General features: G+C 43.6%; 1 protein-coding gene across 3 annotated transcripts, besides 5 other annotated features; it reads left to right on the top strand.

The window, feature by feature from the left end:
• Window positions 5,553–5,662: a silencer, noted in NCBI's record as "silent region_4641". NCBI's record gives its function as "represses an Ori minimal core promoter by ATAC-STARR-seq in GM12878 lymphoblastoid cells {active_cell/tissue: GM12878}" and the evidence as "EXISTENCE:reporter gene assay evidence [ECO:0000049][PMID:35858748]".
• Window positions 5,763–6,062: a silencer, noted in NCBI's record as "silent region_4642". NCBI's record gives its function as "represses an Ori minimal core promoter by ATAC-STARR-seq in GM12878 lymphoblastoid cells {active_cell/tissue: GM12878}" and the evidence as "EXISTENCE:reporter gene assay evidence [ECO:0000049][PMID:35858748]".
• DYRK2 (dual specificity tyrosine phosphorylation regulated kinase 2) lies at window positions 5,890–22,551 on the top strand. Of its 3 annotated transcripts, NM_006482.3 has the most exons (3): window positions 5,890–6,327; window positions 6,942–7,090; window positions 14,251–22,551. In NM_006482.3, the coding sequence occupies exons 1-3, from the start codon at window positions 6,279–6,281 to the stop codon at window positions 15,856–15,858; spliced, it is 1,806 nt and encodes a 601-aa protein (NP_006473.2). In that variant the 5' UTR covers window positions 5,890–6,278; the 3' UTR covers window positions 15,859–22,551. The 3 variants fall into 3 exon arrangements, with proteins under 3 accessions (NP_006473.2, NP_003574.1, XP_016875521.1); NM_003583.4 differs by lacking the exon at window positions 6,942–7,090; XM_017020032.2 differs by lacking the exon at window positions 5,890–6,327 and having other exon boundaries at window positions 7,022–7,939.
• Window positions 6,073–6,732: a silencer, noted in NCBI's record as "silent region_4643". NCBI's record gives its function as "represses an Ori minimal core promoter by ATAC-STARR-seq in GM12878 lymphoblastoid cells {active_cell/tissue: GM12878}" and the evidence as "EXISTENCE:reporter gene assay evidence [ECO:0000049][PMID:35858748]".
• Window positions 6,893–7,282: a silencer, noted in NCBI's record as "silent region_4644". NCBI's record gives its function as "represses an Ori minimal core promoter by ATAC-STARR-seq in GM12878 lymphoblastoid cells {active_cell/tissue: GM12878}" and the evidence as "EXISTENCE:reporter gene assay evidence [ECO:0000049][PMID:35858748]".
• Window positions 8,363–8,412: an enhancer, noted in NCBI's record as "active region_6630". NCBI's record gives its function as "activates an Ori minimal core promoter by ATAC-STARR-seq in GM12878 lymphoblastoid cells {active_cell/tissue: GM12878}" and the evidence as "EXISTENCE:reporter gene assay evidence [ECO:0000049][PMID:35858748]".
• Window positions 22,552–23,287: the final 736 nt, after the last annotated feature.

The raw sequence follows: 23,287 nt of genomic DNA on the forward strand, positions 1-23,287 counted from the left end.
AGTCTTAACAGTTTGAATGTAGGTGATTGCCCTTAGCCCATCCTTAGCTAAATAATTTCAGTTCCATTCAGTAAGGTTTTGTTGAATCTGTGCTAAGGCAGACCAGCAGCAGTGTCCAGTGTGGCTCTCACAGTGCTCACGGCACATACTTCTCCTCTCACTCACCACTTCTTAGCTAGGGGATGGCATGACTTTTGGTTAGAGTGGCACCAAAGACCCCATGACCTGGAACACCACAGAACTTTTTCCCTTTACTCTTCTCTGGTTTGCAAAATTGCACCATGGCTTCTCTCATAACAGATTCCCTAGTAGAGAATTTCAGAGTTTCTGTTGCTCCTTTTACATGTTCATTCCTCACCAGGTGCAAGGTCCAGCATGATCCCCAGGACCCAGGAATCAGCCTGTTCTTTGCTGGCTGCTCCCCGTGCAGCCCCATGGGCTTATCTCCTAGAGGCTGACTCCACTGGCACCTACTTTATAAGCTGTGTCAATTGCGTGGCCACTAGCCTGAGAAGACTGGTCTGGAAGCCAGCTGCTGGGACCCTACCTAGTCATGGCGCTCCTGTCCCTTTGAAGCTCCTGGATATACTGGACACCACTCCTCTGACATTTGTCCTGCTGGATCAAAGGAAGAGGTTTCAGCAGAGGTCCCACTGGGCTTTGTCTATGAGCTTTTTATTAAAGTACTCCAATCTCCAGGATGTAGCTTTCTCTTTTCCCTGCTTACTGGTTTTAAACATTAACTCTGTCCTTAGGATGCAGTTGGAAGAAAAGTCAGATGTATTGTTCCCAAGAAATTGCTGAATTAACTCTGCAGCCTTTCCAAATACCTAGATTGCCTTAGGAGGCAAATGTACCCCCCAACCTAGAATGGAGGAAACTGGCTCTGCAAGTGCCCTGACCGACATATAACCAACCTGCCCAAACACCTCATATCACCAACTTTCTAGCGGTATAGAAATCTCCTCTTGATTTCCACACCAGTAGTGGCCACAGAGCCACACTCCAGAGGCAAATTCAGATACCTTGTAGCCATTTGGTTATGACGGCCATGCCTCCTACTTCTGAAAAGTTTACATTAGTAGACTTTAGGCCATAAGGTCTTCATATTCTTTTCTAGGTAGTTCTGGACCTTGGTGATGGAGACATAGAAGGTACCGCCAGTTAGTGGTGTTCTCTTTTTTTTTTTTTTTTTTTTTTTTAGATGGAGTCTTACTCTGTCTCCCAGGCTGGAGTGCAGTGGCACAATCTTGGCTCACTGCAGCCTCCACCTCCTGGGTTCAAGCAATACTCCTGCCTCAGCCTCCCAGTAGCTGGGATTACAGGTGCCCGCCACCATGCCTGGCTAATTTTTTTGAATTTTTAGTAGCAACAGGGTTTCACTATGTTGGCCAGGCTGGTCTCAAACTCTTGACCTCAAGTGATCCACCCGCCTCGGCCTCCCAAAGTGCTGGGATTACAGGCATGAGCCACTGCACCTGGCCTGGTGTTCTCTTAAAGGGAGTTAGATCCACCTTCACCAAAATGAGTCAGTTCCTTAATAATTTATCTAGCTGCTCCAAAAGCCCCTGCACCTTGTTTTCACATATCCATAGCAGATAAAGTTTAGAATATTTCTTTATTTTTACTTTTTTTGTGGAGACAGGGTCTTGCTATGTTGTCCAGGCTAGTCTCAAACTCCTGGTCCTCCCTCCTCAGCTTCTCAAAGCACTGGGATTATAGGCATGAGCCATCATGCCTGGCCAAGTTTAGGATAATTCTTAACCTGACTTGATCTATCCATAAACCTAACCCTAGGAAGATAGCAGTACCACCCCTCTGCCTGGCACCCCAAGTTTCCTCTATTCTGAATTGCTTCCCCTTCCCCTGGGACACATCATGCTTTCTTACAACTTGACGCTTCTGAACATCCTATTTCTTCCACTTGGAATGTCCTAACCTGTCTCGCCTAACTTGCAAATTCCCACGCGTCTTTAAAACCTCCACTGAAGCACAGCCCCTGCCAGACACCACTTAAGTGGAGCTCGTCCCTCTCTCCTGTGTGCTATCTCTGTGACTCCTATATGCCTTCTTTACCACTCTTTTCACTTCATTAAATGTCTGGTCTCCCGTACGGAACTGTGAACTTCCTAGTAGCAGTGACCAGAGCCAGGGATTATTTAACTGTGTAGCCCCATGTCTTAGTTTGTTAGGGCTACTATAACAAAATACTATAACCTGGGTAACTGTAACAAACAGAAATTTGTTTCTCACAGTTCTGGAGGCTGGAAAGTTCAAGAGCGTGGTGCTGGCAGATTTAGTGTCTGGTGAGGGCCTGTTTCCTTGTTCATAAATGGTGCCTGCTCTCTGTGTCCCCACATGGTGGAAAAGGCTACTAACTCTCTGCAGTCACTTGATCTAACCACCTCCTAATACCATCACATTGTGGGTTAGGATTTCAAAATATAAATTTGGGGCGTACACAAACATTCAGACCATAACATTCCACCAACGGTGCCAAAAATATGTTAGGTTCTTATAGCTTATTGCTTAATTGAATAAAAGAATGAGTTCCTGGACAGGTGTGGTGACTCACGCCTGTAATCCTAGCACTTTGGGAGGCCGAGGCAGGTGGATCACTTGAGGTCAGGAGTTGGAGACCAGCCTGGCCAACGTGGTGAAACCCCGTCTCTACAAAAAATACAAAAATTAGCTAGGCGTGTTGGTGGGCACCTGTAGTCCCAGCTACTCGGGAGGCTAAGGCAGGAGAACCACTTGAACCATGAGGCAGAGGTTGCAGTGAGCTGAGATTGTGCCACTGCACTCCAGCCTGGGCAACACAGTGAAATTCTGTCTCAAAAAAACAAAAACAAAACAAAACAAGAATGAGTTCCTAATAGATTGCCAGACTGAAGTGTAGTCTACTGCATTTGATGATTCATCATGTCTCCTAGGCCTAGCACATACTAAATTCTTTGTAAATGTTTCTGGGATAAGGGGATTAAATGAGTAAATGTGTTTTGAAACCAGCAATTTTTATGTTCATTTCCAATTTTCCTTGTGATCAGTACTTTGCCCAGTGAAAAATCAACTTTCTTCCTCAAGGCTCTATTCTGAGTTCTCCTGTTTCTCTCTACTCCTGCTAGATCCTGCCTACCTCCTTGTTATCTGAATCTGGATTTTAAACATATAGAACACACAGAGTTTTTACAATGGGTGAAAACCAAAGAGCAGTCTCTTGCTAACTGAATGAAGCTTTTAAGGAGGTTCCTATTTAAAATGAAATCTGCTCTGGTGGAGTTATGAAGATTAAACATGGTAATATTTGTGAAAGTGTTTTATAAAGAGATCAAAATATGTGTAATTATATGAGATAATTGATAATGATGCATTATGATAATAAAATTTGAGGGAAATAACTCCCCAAATTTACCCACTTCACTCTCCCCAAAGCCCCAGGAGTGTGTTTGTACAGCTTTTCTATTTAACATTCACTCAGGGAGATGTCAATATTTAATAGAATATTTAACAGAATGAGGAAAATCTAAGCAATGGTTAATAGTCACTTAGAGGTCAGTAAAAATTAATATAATTTTCAAAGATGTACCATTTATAATCAAAATAGCTATGGGGTAGGTCAACTGCAATATTTCCTTATGTTAAGCCACAAAAAATATACAAAATTGAAATTATATTTGTCATGATATAAAACAATATACTACAAAAAGTTCCCTATTGTCTTTTTCTTTCTTAAAGTTAATGATTGTGATCCTTTGTCAAAAAAAAAAAAAAAAAAGAATCAGTGCTCCTTTTCCTCATGTTAAATGAGTAAATTAATATTACTAATTTGGAAATCGTAAACTATGGCTTCCAGTAACTAGCATTTATTTTATTCATGAGAAAACAGTGGCATATTTAGCTTCTACTGAAGTATTGTACGAATAACTTAAGCAAAAAGGGGTGTCATATTATATTAAAATTGATTTTTTTGTTTCATTTTTTTATTTGAACATCAGTTGTATGGAGTACTCATTTTAAAAAGGAAAATGGTATGAAAATAATTGTTTTGAAAGGAGAAAAAAGAGGTGTGAGCTTTCTTGAAAGTGTAAGGAAAGTAGTGTGATGGAAGTCATAGTGAAATCAGACTGGGAGTCAGAAAACCGGTTCTAGTGTCATCTCTGCTACTTAGTAGCCCTTTTCTTTTAGTCGATTCTAAACACTAAATATGCTTCCGCATGTGGATTTAAATGTGATGGTCGCCAGTGACAAGCATAGGGGGATATTTCTTGCTAGGGTCAGTTCAGGTCATGATTCCTCTAAAGGCATATTATTGGATTATTTTACTGTGGGTCTACTTTATTAGGAGAAGGCCCCGAAAGGGTGTTTTGTTTTGTTTTGTTTTGTTTTGTTTTGTTTGGAGGGACGTAATACTAGGGAAAATTCTTTTTGTCACAGGTTCCCTCTCCCAGTGACCCTAACTTGGAGGCCTCTTTAGGAGTCCCAGAGACTCTGAGAGGGTCACACTGTACCTTGAAACAGTTTTTGGCGTTTGTATAAAGCTGCGGATGCGCTCTGTAGGAGGTTGCTATGACAATTTGCAAACAGTAGAGTGGATGAAACTCCGCAGGAGGTGGCTCCCTTCCGACTGGAGTCTGCACTAGTTCGGGCCTGCACAGTAGGTCCAGCCAGGAGCCAGAGATACTCGGGCGGGGCAGAGCATAATGGACCCCTGGCCCCAAGAGAACTTCAGAAACTAGGCACCTCTCGAGAAGGAAGTGCATGGCATAACTCTGCCCCGTCATCCGGGATTTGTCGGGCTTTCCCACCCCACCTCCTCTCACAGTTGAAGTGGCAAAACCTGTGACCTTTGAACAGAGGCGCACTGTGTGCCACGCACGACGAGGCGCGGATGTGAGACGGGAAAGCAATTTTTTTTTGGTCTTCAAGGAAAAGAGAGGTTGTATATGGCGAATAAAAAAGGCAGGGAAATTCTCCACGTGTCTTGGAAGGGAAGGGGGAAAGAGATGTGTCGGGTGGGGTGAGAGGAATTCGAGGTGTCGCTCCCTCACCGCAGAGCTGAAAGGAAGGTGTGTCTCTCCCAGTGGCCGCGCAGGGGAAAGGCTCGGAGTTGTAAGGAAATAGGAGATGTCTCTGATGTTTATTTTTGCCTAGCAACCCACAGCCAACTGCTTCCCCAGCTGCCGTCCACACGCGCCTCTCTGCCTCCCCTTGTCCTAGCGACTGGCGAGCGGTCACTTGGTGTCAGTAAACCGGGGAGGGTGTGTGGTGGAGGTGGGAGGGCAGCCCCCTCTTTCGCCCCTGCTCAGGGTCAACGAGCTCAGCGGCCGCCCCTCCCGGGACTTGCCTCTCCGAGGTGACCCTCGCACAACTAAGTTATCTACATGATGAATTGGGGAGAGGGGAGTGGCTAAGTCGCTGGGACCAAGAATGGGGGGACGGGGAAGCAGTACTGTCTGTGAGCAGCCATTCAGTTCGAAGAGCTGAAAATGCATTTATGTTTAGGGGTGCGCATGGCAGGGGAGGGGTCTCTGCGGCGCTTTCGGCCGGAGGGCAGCAGCGGTAGGTTGAGCTGTAGGGCAGAGAAGGGGCGCCGCGGGGCCGGGGAGGGGAAAAGGTCGCCGGAGTGGAGCCGAGGGAAGCAGTGCAGATGGCCGGAGGGGGCGGAGGAGGGCGAGCGGAGGCCGCCGAGTTTTCCGGGGAGCGGAGGGGCGGCTGCGCGCAAACCGGGGGACTGAGAGGAGCCGGGCGGGAGGTTGGGTGGGGGTGGGGTGTGCGTGGCCGCGGCCGGGGGAGCCGGGGGCGGGGCCTGCGGCGGCGGAGGAGGGCGGCGGAGGGCGGCGGGGGCGGGGCCGCGCGCCGGCGCCTGTGTGTGAGTGCGCGGGGGCGCGCGCGCGCGGGCCCGGGAGAGGCTCCCGAGCCAGGCGGTCTTCGGTCCTCGCAGCGCTTCCAGCTCCCCGCGCCCCTATGTGAGGGAGACGGGGAGGCCCGCGGCGCGCAGGGGAGGGCGAGGCATGTGCACGGGCCGGAGGGTGCTGCAGCCGCCCGAGGAAGAGGAGGACGGCGGCGAGGAGGAGAGCGGGGGGCTCGCGGCGGCGGGCCCCGGCCGAGGGGATGCAGTGGACTGTGTGTGTCTGGCTGTAGCAGACGCGAGGCGGCGACGAGGCGCCGGGGACCCGCGCGAGGGGCGGCCGGGAGGCGGCGGCGGCGGCCGCCAGAAGTAGCAGCAGGACCGGCGGCGGCGACGGCAGCCCTGAAATGCATTTTCCTCTCCAGCGGCCATGTTAACCAGGAAACCTTCGGCCGCCGCTCCCGCCGCCTACCCGACCGGTAAGGAGGCCGTGCCGCCGCGCCGCATCCCCGGACCCCCGCCGGCCCTGGGCAGCCCCTGTGGCGCGGGCGGCCGCTGCCTGCGGGACCTCGAACAAAGTCGGCGGCGCGGCGCGGGGGAGCCCCCGGGCGGACGACGCGCCCCGGGCTCCATGCAGGGTTGTGCGCGGCCCCGAAGGCCCCTCCGCGGGGAGCCCTCGGCCCGAAGAGGCTTCTGCCTGCCGGGGGCCCGGGCGGGGACCGTCCAGGCCTGCCGCCCCGCCCTGCGCTGCCCGGGGCTTGGCGTGGCCGTGGCTCCCTGCTCAGCTGTCCAAACCCACCTCCCGGCTGCTGGCCGTCTGCAACGTGGGCCGCCTAGCCCCGGCGCGGCCCGGCTCCCCCGCCGGGTCGCGAACTCGCGCGCCAGGGCCCCACTTAACTTTGCAGCTGCCCGCGCCCCGCCCGTGGGTGTGCGCTGGGGAGCCGTGACCCGAACGCCCGTTTTTACTGCCCCGGTCTCTTCCTCCGTCTTTCTTTGGAAGAGGGTTGTCGCTGCCCAGCGGGGTTGGAGGGGGGGTCTGGGTGACTTTCTCCCCCCTGACCCTCTTTTGTCTCCTCCCGCACGTGGCTTCCAGGCCGAGGTGGGGACAGCGCCGTTCGTCAGCTTCAGGCTTCCCCGGGGCTCGGTGCAGGGGCCACCCGGAGCGGAGTGGGGACTGGCCCGCCCTCCCCCATCGCCCTGCCGCCTCTCCGGGCCAGCAACGCTGCCGCCGCAGCCCACACGGTGAGACCCAGCCCGCGGGCGGCCCGGGCGGTGGGGGCGGGAGGGGCCCCAGGCCGAAGCACCCGGACTTGGAGGGGTCTGACGCCGGGAGAAGAGGGGTCGAGATACAAGCAGCCCCACGCCTCGGGCCGATGGTCTCTCGTCGACGCCGCCCTGGTTAAGTTGGGCGAGCCCAAAGCTGCAGCCACAAAGGAAGATTCGTGGCGTGGGCCCCTTACTTCCCCTCCAGAGCTCGCCCACCCATGACCTCCTCTTCCTAGGAACTTCCTCCTTGCTGCTTTCCTTCTTTCCTCATTTTTCGTCCTTGCATCCCAGAGTTCCCTTCCCTGACCCGGTAAACATCTCTGTCCTTCCCCCACCTCCCCGTGGGTAGTGGGTATTTATAGAAACAGATACGTGTTAGGGGACAGCCAGACCGGCCTGCCCGGAAAATCGATCCCCCAAAGAGCCTCCCAGGCCTGGCTCCAGCCAGCAGGGAGCATCGCCAATTGTCCCCCGCGTGTGTAAGCATGTTTTATGAGTGCTACAGGTTTGAGCACAGCAGAAATTGTAATCAACATTAACAAAAATAAGGGCCGCCGCAGCAGTCAAAACAAGCCACCCCTGTAGGATTCTGCAGTTGGACATTATTCAAAAGGAAAGGGCAAGCGTTGCTTTGGAGGTGGGAAAGAAAAAGCACCTAACAGGTGCTGTGGTCTCTGGGAGGGGAGAGGCCAGCGTGGGACTGGTTGCTGGTGGCTGCGGAGACTGGCAAGCTGGATTCGACTAAAGCATGTACCTTTTCTCAGCTCCCAGGGATCACCCTTGGATGGTGATGGCCAGCCTGGAGGAGGTCTGCACTTGGAGGAGGTGATGGTTTGGAGGTCTTTTTTTCCCAATTGGATTTTCCACAGGAACAGCCTAAGATGGTTCTGTGTGAGGGAGGCTTGCTAGGGATTGGTTTTATTTGCTAAGTGAAAGTTGAGTTCTTGAAGAAAAGGCCATCTCCGGTCTACAGGGGAGTAGCTCTGGGGACATATGTTATGGGGAAACTTGTTTGTCAGAGAACTGTGAGGGGATGTCTAGACTGTAGTTGCACCTGTTAGACTTGGAGAGATGTGTGCAAGTTTCGTAGGAAAATGTTTTGTTGCTGTTACTATCTTCCCCCTCCCTCTGTCTGTCTCTCTATCCTGACACATCTGGTCCCAGGGGCTGGGAATTCATTGCACAGAGGTTAACTAACCTGTGTTGGACTGTGGATGGTATAGTAGGATGGATGATTCTGTATATTACTGTTAAGTGTTCTTGTCACAGTGATATTTAAGGGACTGCCATTGATTTTAGGGGTTTGGATTTTTTTGTTTGGGATCATCTGACAATTTGGAAAATATAATACCCAGTTTTTTGCTATGTGTTGATGTAATCACATGACATGGTGTGAGCTGGAAAAAGAACTATTTGGTTTGCATGTGGATTCCAATTTTGTAAGGATGGGCTTTGCTTGATCAGAGCCTCTTTGCAATTGAAATACATGTAATGAAAGTAGATGAAACGACAAGTCTCCACTGGAGGGAGAGCCTGTGGTGCACCAGAAAAGGAAGGATGCGAATGTGCTTCTCAGTACTCCTCATAATGGAGGCCTGTATTTTGCTGTGGCATATGCCAGATTTACTTGTTTTTAACGTGTGTGTAAACTTCGGTATGCTGTTAATTATTAGATGCTTGACTTTGAAGGTGTGAATTTGGGTTTCGATGGTGGTTTAGTTTTGATTTTATTTCTATAACATAGCAGATTTCATAGTACAGGAAAGGTTACAAGGACCACAGAGTTTATCTGGTTCTATTCTTTCAATTTATAGATGAGGAAACAGACTCAGACAAGGTAACTGGTTTCATCAAGATTCCCCAGCCAGTTCATATCAAGGCCAGAGTGAAAGCCTACATCCTCCTGCATCTAGTTTTAATATACTGATGGAGACTGCTAATTCTAGGAAATTGTACTAGCCTCATTATAAATGCAAGAACCTTTGTAGATCCATATTCCCATATGTCTGTCAGATTTTTATAAATTTTTAGTTATTATTTCCAGAGTAATTACACCTAGGAAGAACTTCTAGAATGAATGGGGGGCGGGAGGGCATTAAGGAGATAAAAATGATCTTGTCATAGGAGCTTGCCCACATTTTCTCTTACAGGTGATATAGTAGGCAGGTTAAATATATGATTATAAAGATTATAAACTTTGGAATTTATCTAGACCATTGCCCTTTTGTTTTATATCTCCATGTATAAGTTGTTTTACACTTTAGTTATTTCTGTTTGTGTGAGAGAGAGAAGTGTGCCCAATCACTGTCTTACTTCCTATTATTTTTCTATTAATGTTAATTGGTAGTTATTAATAGAAGTATTTTTAAATTCAAAAATATTAAAATATGTATAACTTTTGTAACTGTTTTACTATGTAAAACACTCCAGTTATCAGTTTTACCTTTATAAAATAATTCAAATTGAAATACACATTTTAAAAAATGGCAGTATTTTGAAGAAGAAAAAGTAGACATTTTTCTTTCTGACAGGGCCACACAGACTGTCAGAATGTTTGAGGAGGAGCTAAAATTCCAGTCTTTTTGGACTCAATTCTATTACCATAATACTATACAGCATTTCTAAGATGACTTCAGAAAAGTTTTTAAACGCCCAAGACTATTATCACAGTGGAATATCTGCTGTTTGCCATTTTCTTATTGGAAGAAATGAAAACTACCAAACTGGTTAGACTATTGTTTTTATATAATATTTAATACCAAAGTACTTGATGATCAAAGAAGCCTTTGCAGGTCTCTCAATTCGAACCCATAAATTGTAGCTATTTTAACAATTGTATTATGTTTTTATTTTTTGTTTTGTTTTGTTTTGTTTTTTTGAGACGGAGTCTCACTCTGTTGCCCAGGCTGGAGTGCAGTGGCTCCATCTCGGCTCACTGCAACCTCCGCCTCCGGGGTTCAAGCGATTCTCTTGCCTTAGCCACCCAAGTAGCTGGGATTACAGGCACCCGCCACCATGCCTGGCTAATTTTTGTATTTTTAGTAGAGATGGGGTTTCACCATGTTGGCCAGGTTGGTTATGAACTCCTGACCTCAAATGATCCACCTGCCTCAGCCTCCCAAAGTGCTGGGATTACAGGATTGAGCCCCTGTGCCCGGCCTCAGTATGTATTTTTAAATGTGACACACACTGTGCTATACATTGGCATATCGGAATAAGCCATGATCTCAGACTTCAAGAGGCTGAGCTGGAGGGAGAGGTTTTTAGTATCCTTAAGTTTATGATGTAGTCTTGACATACGTATTCTGGAAATGTTCTGGCATTTCTAGTCCCTCAGCACCCCCACCCTGCTCTCTGCCCCATTTTTTATAAGTCAGTTAATTGTGCTTTTGAGCTTGATTGTGATTTTAGAGTCCTGCAATGTTTGAGATTCAAAGTCTTCTTTTGCTAGAGCTTCTCAAATGAATCTCTAACATCTGGAAAGCTTTTAAGATTGCATGTGTTGCTTTTAGGTGTTTGGTTGATGTGTTTGTTGCAAGTGTTTTATACATGGTTTGATTGATGTGTCTGCTACAGGTACTTTATGCTTGGAGGTCCTTGGCCTCCAAGTCTGTGCGGATCCACTGCAAGCCTAACGTCTTGTGACTTAGGTCACCAGGGACGTTTCTTAATTCCCTGGGCCTTGACTTCATGTTTCCTTATGAAGGTACACAATGTAGTTCTCAGGAACAACTCCAAGAGAGGCAAGAGTTAACAAGGAGGATCTATTGGCATGTGTTCTTCCATCCCAAAGATATTTATTGAGGGCTTACTATATGCCTGGGTTTATGTTAATGAGGACTTGGAAACATAAGAGGGGACCCAGCCCTGGAATTGCTCACAGCCAGATGAGTACATCTGATGTTAAAACAATTGCAATAAAGAGAAATAAGTAAAAGGGTGAATCACCTAGGTATGAGAAAGGAGATTACAAGAAATATCTGGAAAGGACAATAATAATGCTCTCATTGACTGACTACTAAGCACTTTACACATATTACCTTATTTAATCCCCCTAAAAGCCCTAATGAGGTAACTTTGTTACCTTCTTTTTGCAGACAAGGGCACTGAGGTTAACAGAGATGAAATAAGTTGCCCTGGGTCACACATTTAGTAAATGGTGGAGCTGGATCATTTAATGTGTGTCTAACTGAAAATCTACCATTATGAAACCTGACCTCACTAAAAGCAGAGGAGTGTAAAAGTGTGTGGTGTTTTTTGGGTCCTGGGCTATCTAGCTTTGTTCTCTTGGAGAGAAGAGTGACAGTAGTTGATGAGAATGGAAGGACTCCGATCATTTAGCCTCTACATTTTAGAGCCTTGTGTTCTTACTGGTAAGTTCTTGCATTAGCTATGGAAATAGGTTACAGCCACAGGCCTTGGGCAAAAGCAAGAGTGGTCTCAGGTTGAGACTTTTAAATCAGACTCTAGAAGCACTATGGAGAAGAGATTTGAGGAATTCTAGACTTAGAAGCAAGGGGGCATGTTACGATGCTGCCTCAGTTGTCCCAGTGAAAGACATCAGGAGAGTGAGATGAGGCAGTGTTGATGGAAAGGGCCTGGGATAGTAATGATGCATCTTCTTGGTGACTTGGGAAGGTGAGGGAGGTGTTGAGATTTTCCAGGCACACAGTGCTGAGGATTCATTCGCAGGTGGATAGCCTGAGTGACACATGGAGGGGAAGCCTTCTTTTTATCAAAAATGGAGGATTATGGAAGTGGGAAACTGGTTTGTTAGAAAAATCATGAGTTAAGTTTGAGTTGCTTATGGGAGAGGGAGCTGATCGATAGTTGGATATGTGTGTCTTCCACTCAGGAGATAGCACCTTGGAAGGTCTGAGCTCAGGGAACAAATGCGCAAACATCAGGCCATGGGCAGTTGCTGAAGCCCTGGCTGTGTTCAGGATCAGTTGCAGGGGGTTATGGGAGTAAGAAGCCAAGAGAATCGAGATTTGAACCCTGGGGAACTCTTGAATCCACCTAAGGTTAGGTAGTAGTTGATGCTGCAAAGGAGACCAAGAGAAGGCAGTTGGAGATATAGAAGATGGTCGTTTCTTGTCAGTCTCGTTAGTTTTAGTTACTAAAACATTTGTGATCATGTATTAAATTATGCGAAACACAAAAATTGCTTGAAGTAAATTTCTGAGGCTTGGTTTTACTTTGCTGTGTTTTTAGAAATCTCTAAAGCCCCAAGGTTAATTTTGTCCTAATGAAGAGCTTTATGCTTTTTATAGCATGTATACAGGTAATGTGAATTTTTCTGCTGAAATATCACCACTCCACTCTAAAGAAAATGATTCTATAGGAGAGAGATATTTTGATTCAGGCCCCTTTATTGTCTGGTGTTTGAAAGACCACAGTGGACAGGAGAGGGTGCAGAGAGCGAGGCTGGGGAAGAGAAGCATTGGACAAGCCTGTACCTCTTTTATATATGCCCAAGACTTGCCTGATTCATTTTTATGGACTGCCCTGCTTTTGGCATAGAACAAGGGTAAAATAACCTTTCTAGCTACTCTTATTGAATATAAGGTCACCTAGCATGGAGTATCATCTATGAGTGTGATAAAAAAGCTCAGTTATAAGTCTAAGAAATGATATCCCTGAGCCTATGAAGTCACAGTCAGACAGGCCCCAAGTATTGTCTTCTGTTTTGTTTTAGTTAGAAGTGGGCAGAGAGGAAGCTCACACTCCACATAGTCATTGTGCATATTATGTATCCAATAAAGAAAATGTGAACGTCTTGGTCTGCTAGTAAGAAGGAGTTGGAATTTCATTTTGTAATCCAGGTGTTCCCAAATCATGTTTTGAATTACTGTGTTACATATACAGAGCCCTTCTGCTCTTTCAGTAGTATGTAAAGCCCCAAAGGTAGGATTTAAAAGGGGATAGTAGAAAAAATACTGATGGCAGTGGACTTCATCTAGTTAATTGTAAGTTCCTGGAGGGCAGGGACTCTGTCACTTTGGCAGCCAGCCTCCTGTTAATACCAGTTGACTGAATGAGGTGGATTGTGATGACAAGGTGGTGTAAGATTTCATACAGAAATCACCTGCCAGGCTGCTTTAAGACTAGGGGTTGTCCAAGGCAGGAATTCCTAACTGGGAGAGGATCCTGGCTGCCAGTCCTCTCCTACCCCTTACCTCTCAGCAGCCATAATGCTTAAAGGAAATCCCAAGAAGATTCTCAGTAGAGGGCTGGGGTCCCTTGGTTCACACCATTGATAGAATTTAGACAGGAATGTTCAGGGATGGCATGCATACCTGAAACAGAGGTTGCTTCTTTGGATTCCTATTTGGAAATCTGAGTATCCCAGCAGCTTGTAGAAATGGACATCTTCAGAGAGCTGAGCCACTGACCCCTCCGGAGGAAGGCCAAACAGTGTGGTCGTTGCTTGGTTTGTTGGGCTGAATGCCTTAAATGGTTATTACAGTTAGTAAAGCCTGGAAACTTTTAAAAATAGGTCAGGGGTCCATAAGATACTATGGTACACATCTACATGGGAATCTTTCAAGTCTAAAAACACAGGGTTTTTGTTTTTGTCACTGGATCATGTGTGCACTTAGGTTTCATCAGATTTTCAAGGAAAGGGGAAATACTGGTGATGAAGTGTTTTCAGGATAGAGCTCTAGGTATTAGGGAAAGAGTAGTGAACAAGACAGACATGGTCCCTGTCTTCATGTTAATAAACTACTAGATGAAATATGAAAGGTGCTGTGATCTGGGGGTGGAGGAGCCAACATAGAGTCTTATGTGTGCATGTTTTTTTCTGTATCCTGTTTCATTTTTGTATCAAATGTGGATTGAGTGGAACACCTATGATGTGCCAGGCCCTATACTAAGTGTTAGATATAGAATGATAAAGTTAAGGTCTCTGTCTCCGTGGGGAACCCTGAATATGTACAGCAAACCATCTTGTCTGTTAGGCATGGCATTTATGAGGTCCATTTTTCAGGATCACATGTTTTGTGGCTTTTACTCAAACCAAATGGGATTTTGTAAATGTGAGGTTGGGGGCGGTGGTGTTGTTGGGGGTTACTTATACACCATTTGAACAGACACCACTTCTTTTCTATTTATATTTCCTGTCTGAATTCCAGATTGGCGGCAGTAAGCACACAATGAATGATCACCTGCATGTCGGCAGCCACGCTCACGGACAGATCCAGGTTCAACAGTTGTTTGAGGATAACAGTAACAAGCGGACAGTGCTCACGACACAACCAAATGGGCTTACAACAGTGGGCAAAACGGGCTTGCCAGTGGTGCCAGAGCGGCAGCTGGACAGCATTCATAGACGGCAGGGGAGCTCCACCTCTCTAAAGTCCATGGAAGGCATGGGGAAGGTGAAAGCCACCCCCATGACACCTGAACAAGCAATGAAGCAATACATGCAAAAACTCACAGCCTTCGAACACCATGAGATTTTCAGCTACCCTGAAATATATTTCTTGGGTCTAAATGCTAAGAAGCGCCAGGGCATGACAGGTGGGCCCAACAATGGTGGCTATGATGATGACCAGGGATCATATGTGCAGGTGCCCCACGATCACGTGGCTTACAGGTATGAGGTCCTCAAGGTCATTGGGAAGGGGAGCTTTGGGCAGGTGGTCAAGGCCTACGATCACAAAGTCCACCAGCACGTGGCCCTAAAGATGGTGCGGAATGAGAAGCGCTTCCACCGGCAAGCAGCGGAGGAGATCCGAATCCTGGAACACCTGCGGAAGCAGGACAAGGATAACACAATGAATGTCATCCATATGCTGGAGAATTTCACCTTCCGCAACCACATCTGCATGACGTTTGAGCTGCTGAGCATGAACCTCTATGAGCTCATCAAGAAGAATAAATTCCAGGGCTTCAGTCTGCCTTTGGTTCGCAAGTTTGCCCACTCGATTCTGCAGTGCTTGGATGCTTTGCACAAAAACAGAATAATTCACTGTGACCTTAAGCCCGAGAACATTTTGTTAAAGCAGCAGGGTAGAAGCGGTATTAAAGTAATTGATTTTGGCTCCAGTTGTTACGAGCATCAGCGTGTCTACACGTACATCCAGTCGCGTTTTTACCGGGCTCCAGAAGTGATCCTTGGGGCCAGGTATGGCATGCCCATTGATATGTGGAGCCTGGGCTGCATTTTAGCAGAGCTCCTGACGGGTTACCCCCTCTTGCCTGGGGAAGATGAAGGGGACCAGCTGGCCTGTATGATTGAACTGTTGGGCATGCCCTCACAGAAACTGCTGGATGCATCCAAACGAGCCAAAAATTTTGTGAGCTCCAAGGGTTATCCCCGTTACTGCACTGTCACGACTCTCTCAGATGGCTCTGTGGTCCTAAACGGAGGCCGTTCCCGGAGGGGGAAACTGAGGGGCCCACCGGAGAGCAGAGAGTGGGGGAACGCGCTGAAGGGGTGTGATGATCCCCTTTTCCTTGACTTCTTAAAACAGTGTTTAGAGTGGGATCCTGCAGTGCGCATGACCCCAGGCCAGGCTTTGCGGCACCCCTGGCTGAGGAGGCGGTTGCCAAAGCCTCCCACCGGGGAGAAAACGTCAGTGAAAAGGATAACTGAGAGCACCGGTGCTATCACATCTATATCCAAGTTACCTCCACCTTCTAGCTCAGCTTCCAAACTGAGGACTAATTTGGCGCAGATGACAGATGCCAATGGGAATATTCAGCAGAGGACAGTGTTGCCAAAACTTGTTAGCTGAGCTCACGTCCCCTGATGCTGGTAACCTGAAAGATACGACATTGCTGAGCCTTACTGGGTTGAAAAGGAGTAGCTCAGACCTGTTTTTATTTGCTCAATAACTCTACTCATTTGTATCTTTTCAGCACTTAATTTTAATGTAAGAAAGTTGTTCATTTTGTTTTTATAAAATACATGAGGACAATGCTTTAAGTTTTTATACTTTCAGAAACTTTTTGTGTTCTAAAAGTACAATGAGCCTTACTGTATTTAGTGTGGCAGAATAATAACATCAGTGGCAGGCCACTGATTACTTCATGACTGCCACGCATTTACAGATTGGTGTCAAAGACATTCACTATGTTTTTATGGTTCATGTTATATCCTCCCCAGGGTGACAGCCCCTTAAGGCCCTCCTTTTCCCTCCATGCTCCAGGTCCATGCACAGGTGTAGCATGTCCTGCTTCCGTTTTTCATAAATTAATCTGGGTGTTGGGGGTAGTGGGAGGAGAACGGTCAGAATCAAAGTGACATTCTAAGAAAAACTGTACCTTAGAGATTTTCCTCTAGTGCTCAAACAAATACAAAATAAGATCCCCAAGGTTTAAACTGCCCAGTTAGCATTCTGACATTCTAAAAGCCGGCAAAGCAGCTTTTAGTGGATAAATGGGAATGGAAACGTGTGTGTTCCTCCAAATTTTCTAGTATGATCGGTGAGCTGTTTTGTAAAGAAGCCTCATATTACAGAGTTGCTTTTGCACCTAAATTTAGAATTGTATTCCATGAACTGTTCCTCCCTTTTCTCTGCTTTTCTCCTCTCTGTTCCTCTTTTAATACCACACGTCTGTTGCTTGCATTTAGTTTGTCTTCTTCCTTCAGCTGTGTATCCCAGACTGTTAATACAGAAAAGAGACATTTCAGCTGTGATTATGACCATTGTTTCATATTCCAATTAAAAAAAGAACAGCAGCCTAGCTACTTAAGGTGGGGATTTCCATAGTTCCAAAGAAGATTTAGCAGATTAGAGTGAGTTCACACTTTTCAGGTGCCACTGTAAGGTTCTCTCAGCCTGGGAAACTATCAACTCTTTCTTTAAAAAGAAAGAGGGTTGAAAATCCTCTGGACGAACAGAAGTCACTTTGGCTGTTCAGTAAGGCCAATGTTAACAACACGTTTAGAGGAGGAAAAGTTCAACCTCAAGTTAAATGGTTTGACTTATTCTTCGTATCATTAGAAGAACCCCAGAGATAGCATTCCTCTATTTTATTTTACTTTCTTTTGGATTGCACTGATTGTTTTTGTGGGAATGACACTTTATCTGGCAAAGTAACTGAGAGTTTGGTAAAAGAATATTTTCTTCTCTGAATAATAATTATTTTCACAGTGAAAATTTCAGTATTTTATCACTAATGTATGAGCAATGATCTATATCAATTTCAAGGCACGTGAAAAAAATTTTTTAGTATGTGCAATTTAATATAGAAAGATTTCTGCCTGTTTGGACAATAGGTTTTGGGTAGTACAGATTAGGATAAGTAAGCTTATATATGCACAGAGATTATTGTATTACCTGTAAATTGATTTACAAGTACTTAAAAGCGTGGTCCCCAGTGAGGCCAAGAAAGTTTCCGGTTAAGTTCTTTAATAATAATCCTACAGTTTATCTTAAGAAAAAAAAAAAGGTTTGAAAAAAACACTTTAATTTAGGCTTCGTTGGTTGATGGTGGAAAAAAATGCTCAGGAAATATTTCAGATATTTGCCAAAAAACCAGTAATAAGGTTACCTTATTAAAATAGTGATATTTGCTTTACTATTTAAGGTGTCACTGATAAATTAATTTGTACTTCTGTGTTTAGAAATTATAGCTTCTTTTCCCTTAGTCAAATTTTTTAGCATATTATACACATTTCTGTGTAATCTGTGGAAGTGCAATAATATGTTAGTAAGTTACATTTTAAATAATGCTCATGTGACAATACTCCCAATCAATGGCTTATAGAATTTAAAGATCTGTATATTAGATTTTGGCTTAAAGGCATGAGAAGTATAAGACTTGGTTTGGTGGCTTTGTAAGACCACCAGCCTCTTAATGATGGTTAGCTTCTTTAGGTCATTAAATCAATAAAAACATATAATGCTGTTTTGCTCTTCTAATGCTCCTCTTCCATTTCCAGTTATCTTCACATTTACATTTAAATATACAAACCTGAGCCTGCCATTATTAATTTCCCTATAAAATGACGATACATGTGAACATTTATAAATGGACTAATACTGCTTGTCTTTCCCCCACCGCACAAAACTGGTTCTTAAGATGCCAGCAATGAATTTGAGACTATCTTTATTTATAAATGGAAACCGGAAACTTTTATACCAAACTATAATAATGTGCAGCACTGTAGGGCTTTTTTTTTTTTCCCTCCAAATACAGTGAAATTTTTTTATTCACAAGAGCTGCCACATCTCAGCATTTAGTAATAGAGCTGCTTTAATAAAATTCTAGTTTGATTGTCATGTCAAAAAAAGAAAAATGTTGCATCTTTGTGATTTTAAAACATAAATTAATGAAGGCTCTGATAGGCTATTAGGAGTTGGCTTGGAAACAGTTTTTGGTCTCACAGGTTACCATTGTTTGGGGATGTCTGAGCTGTTTTCAGATCTAGGAATAGCACAGTGTTGTCTTGTCTTTGGCAGTCTCATTTGGCTCTGTTTCTTGCACCACCAGCGTGTTCATTACCACTTAAATATATTGCTACAGCAGTGGAACAACAGAGTGGTGCAAGACACTGTAGATTAACGGTAGAGGAGAAATTGTGCCCTTAGTGTTAACAATGTGCCTTTTGTTCTGAATGCCATGTTGTAGGGCATGCATTTTTTGGCCTCTTTAACTCTTCGAATTCTAGTCAGTAAGAATGGAACCCATCTCTGCAAAGATACATCTGTCTTAAATATCTAGTTACAGGCCTTAATAGAAACCATAAGGCATGACTCATCTTCAGGCACTGAAAAAAGATAACCATCAGGTAGTGTTACACAAGGACTTCCTATATTTAAGGGGTTAAAGATGGTCTTTGTTGTATCTTAACATCAGACTGATTTTTACATTTTTTTTTTGTTATGCTAACACTAGACAAAAATCAACTGTATTTGTAAAAATTTACCTCAAACCATTTAATTTTATAGTGTGATTAATCCCAGGGCATTTGGTATGAACCAAAGTGCATTCCTTTTATATGTGCCTGGCTCTAGTAAGGATGGCCAGGGATTTTTACAATTTGGGTGCAAGGCACTTAAGCCACTTTTAAACTTAATGGGTGGTTTGGGGTCGTGTTAAATGACTCCATCAGAATGTTAGAAAACACTTTAGGCATCAGTAGCATTGGGCCATATTGGAATCCTAAAGTGTGAATTATTTTAAGGAGAGCATTCATTTTTGTAATTTTTTTCATCAAAAATATTTCTGGTAAGCAGAAGACTTTTTAAAAAAACTGATCTGGTCTCGGTAAAGGTTTTAATATTGCCCAACATAATGCTGTAATAGCATTAAAAAAAGTATTTGTGAACTCTGTTTCTTAGGGGCTTGTACATCTCTCTGCTATGGACATACATAAAATTAATTGTAATTATACTCAGCTCAACTGCTACAGTTCTGTCTAGGCAGTGGCTTGGGTTTTTATCGAGCAACAACTTAGACACGTGACTGTAATATGCTGCAACTGTGTGTACTGAAAATATGTGAAAATGGTTGAATGTGGACTGTGTATATATGTATGTAAAAATTTCTGTGAGATGCTGCTGTCGCCACTTAACATTAAATATGTTCTAGTGGATTTTAATCCTAGTGGCCAGTTCTATGATACTGTATGTATTATACAGCTGATGACAGGAGTAAGACTGTTTAGTGAATATCTGTTAAATTTTATTGTTGTGGCCAGAGATAATTTCAGAATAAAATTTTAATGTCCTACCTTACTTCTCTCCCCTTTCTAACTATAATTTAACTCCTGATCTATTTCTGGTATTATCCTTTGTCAATTAGCCTGGAGAGGGTTTAGAATGCAAAATGGATAGCTCTATATCAGGGTCTTGAGAAGTTAAAATAATTCATTCTACTAGTTTGTTCATAGCAATACTTTATTAGTTCAATATAAGTATGCAGATTCCAAGTGGAAAAACAAAGGTTTTAGTAAGTAGTTCTTGCTTTTCCCAGGATATTCTATTCCTTCACCTGTCAGATTTTTATGTTAACTTTTTTATATATAGCCTCTGCTGTGTTCTTTATTATGCTAGAGCTTCATATCTTCTTTTATTTTAACCTTCACAATGATAGTTAAGCTGGGGGAGCAGAACCTGTCAATTATTCCCCACCAGTCTTCATTCTTTTCTCTGCACAAGTTCTGGTAAATTATTCTAATGTGCTCTAACCAGTTCCACCCAATGTTTTTTAATGCTTATGAGTTTGCAGTTTTTGTACTTGGTGGTCTCTGTGGTTCACATTTTTTTGTGTTGTAGTGTCTCCTGCCTCGGTTGGCTCAGAAAATAAGGCCTAGGAACTGCAATTAGCTCATGATTTGTCAAGTTCAGTTAGTACCAAGCTAAGAGTTTACTTACAGATGACAGCAAGCAGATGCTCTAGTAATTCGTCAGACATTGCAGGGATATTGTGTAGTCAGATATTACCCTCTTGTGGAAAGAACTACCTCACATCATTATTTATTTCCCTTCTGTTACCAACAGCCAAGGAATTACTTAGTGTGGCTCCCTGCATCAATACTGGGATATGCTTAAACAAGGGAATGCCATAAGAGTTCCCAATTGCCTCGTCATAGCCTGGGCCATAGATTTTTGTTACTGCTAATCTTGCTTCTTAAAGTTCACACCCAGTGCAAAAAACCCAATCAGCAAACTAACCCCAAAATCCAATATATTTAGAAATGTAAGTGTTAAGAGATGTGCATTATGTACAAAATTGAAAATTGGTGCTAAAGTGGCAATGTCAATTTAAAATTTCTTGTCCAGATCTGACTGACTGACTCAGGAGATTATAGTTCCTACTCATTCTCTTTCCTTTTATCAGATCTTTCAAAAGCGCTTTTTAAAATTGATCAATGTGCAATTCTGTTTGAGTCTCTACAGTCCTATCCCTTTTGGAATGAACAGCTACACAAATAAATATTCTTGGAACTTCGAAGTTGTCTTCAAACTAGCTCTAGAAAATGTCCCTAGTTGACATTAGTGTTGGTCTGTTAGAAGGGGAAATTGATTTGACTGCTTCATGTTTTGAAAAGAGCATTAAGAGGGATTTGAGGAAGGTATATGTGGCTTTCTTTTTTTTTCTTAAGTTTGAATTACACTTGATTTCCTTTGGGTTATTAGGCAGATAAACCCTTGTCATTAGTAATACTTAGCACTGTCCAAAATGAAAAATGACTGCCAGTGTGTTGCACATACATAAGAAAATTACATCTTACTGCGAAGTCTTTGGTTTGTTTCCTTATTTGGTTTGACTTTGACTTACTATTTTGCTATGGTCATATCCTTAATATCTGCGGTACATTTCATATATATATATGGGGTGGGAGCATAATTGCCATTCCCATGTGTCTCAAGGAAGCTTAATGAGGAAACTAATGAGTTAATATTAACTCTTCTGAAGAAAGCTGACATTTTAGGAGTATTAAGTCATCTGTCGTTAAGGAGCAGCAAGAATATATTATGATTGTATCACATGTTCCAGAAGAGCATTACCCCTTACATAGAAAGCTCCTTGGAGATTTCATGATGTTGGATGAACATCAGTTTATCCTTATACATCCCTATGAGCTATAATTATCCTCATTTGATACTTGAGGAAACTGAAGTGACTTGCTCCAAAGTTGACTACAAAAACATTGCAGTTTGAGGCTTAGGTTGTAATCAGGTAATTTTGGTCTTGGACAGTAAGGGAAAATCCATAATACATAAAACACAAAAGTTTAGAAAGGGGGGGAAGTTGAGCTAGCAATGGGCATTTCTATTATTTAAGTTACATATCAGTTTCCAGGAATATTTTTCAAATGGGACAAACTAAAAAGTTGAGGACTAGAGCATCGTAGTGTCTAAGTGCACCTAATAACTTAATGCATGTGCACACACCCTCAGTTAATTTGTAAGAGAGTGACTTCTCATTGTTATTTGTGGAGAGGCTAATTATAGTAGCTTCATTCTTTATTTTCTGTGTTCTTAAATTTTTTTTTACATTTGAAAGTATGAAAATACTATTTTTGACACTTTACTGATACTCAGGGATTAAAAGTTAAATTTTACTGACTGTAGCAGCAGGTAAATCTCTTAAATTTACTCAGGTTTCCTATCCTTTGCCTCCATATTTAAGAAAATATAGAATGCCTGCCAGGGAAATATATAAAAATAAAAATTTCAAATACAATTTTAAAATACCAATTTGTAAATAAACCAATTTTACAAACTAAAATATTGTGTCTTTCCTTGCTTTTTATCCCAATTTATCTCCCCTCCTAAGTTTGAGGAGTTTTATATATTAAGGCTATTTCTTCATTTGTAAAAATGAAGTATGCTATTTGCAAAGCAAAAGCCCATGAAAAGCCCCAAATCATTTAAGTAAAGCTTACTGAATTGTTTTCAATTGTTTTGGGAGAAATGTAACTAATTATAAGCAATTTATGTGGACCAGCAGCAAATAAATGTATGAGTACATTTGGGCGAATTTGTCATCTTTTTATCTGAAGAGGAATACCCTACTTAATTTCCCTTGTCTGTAAAATTGAGTTTATCAGAATTTTGGCTAGGGTAGCTTTAAATATATATATAGAAAATGCAGATGGCATTTATTTGTCAAATATTTATTAAATAAGCCTCCTACAGCCCAGAATCTTGTAGGCACTAGGGATATATAATGCTGAACAAAACACACAGTGCCTTTTTCAGGGAGTTTTTAGACTGGTTGGGAAGGCAGACATTACATGGGTAATTATATGAACAAATACATATTTTATACAACAAATACTTTGCATAGTTGCAAAGTAGTAAGTGCTGTGAAGAAAAAGCATGTTGTGCTGAGTGTGTGTGCAATGTTGTATGGATCAAAGATGGCTTCCCCAGGAAACAAATAGCTTTTGAGCTGAGGAACAAAGAGCATGAATAGAGACCCTGTAGCTAGCTAGAGGAAATAAGGTGAACAACTGAAGGCAGGGCCACTTGGCCAGAGCCCAGAGAATGAGAGAATTTGGTGTGAAACGAAAGTGATGAGGTGAACCAGAACATGCCAAGCCCTGTAGGTGCTATTAAGGATTTTGGTCCTTACCCTATAAGTAAGGAAGCCACCAAGAGATTTTTGAGGAGGAAATGCCATGAGCAGATTGGCTCTTCCTGGCTGTCTTTATAGGAAAGTACTGAGAAGGGTAAGAGTAGATGAAGGAAGCCCAACTGGAAG

Source organism: Homo sapiens, chromosome 12 (genome assembly GCF_000001405.40).
Source record: "Homo sapiens chromosome 12, GRCh38.p14 Primary Assembly".
Taxonomy (NCBI): Eukaryota; Metazoa; Chordata; class Mammalia; order Primates; family Hominidae; genus Homo; species Homo sapiens.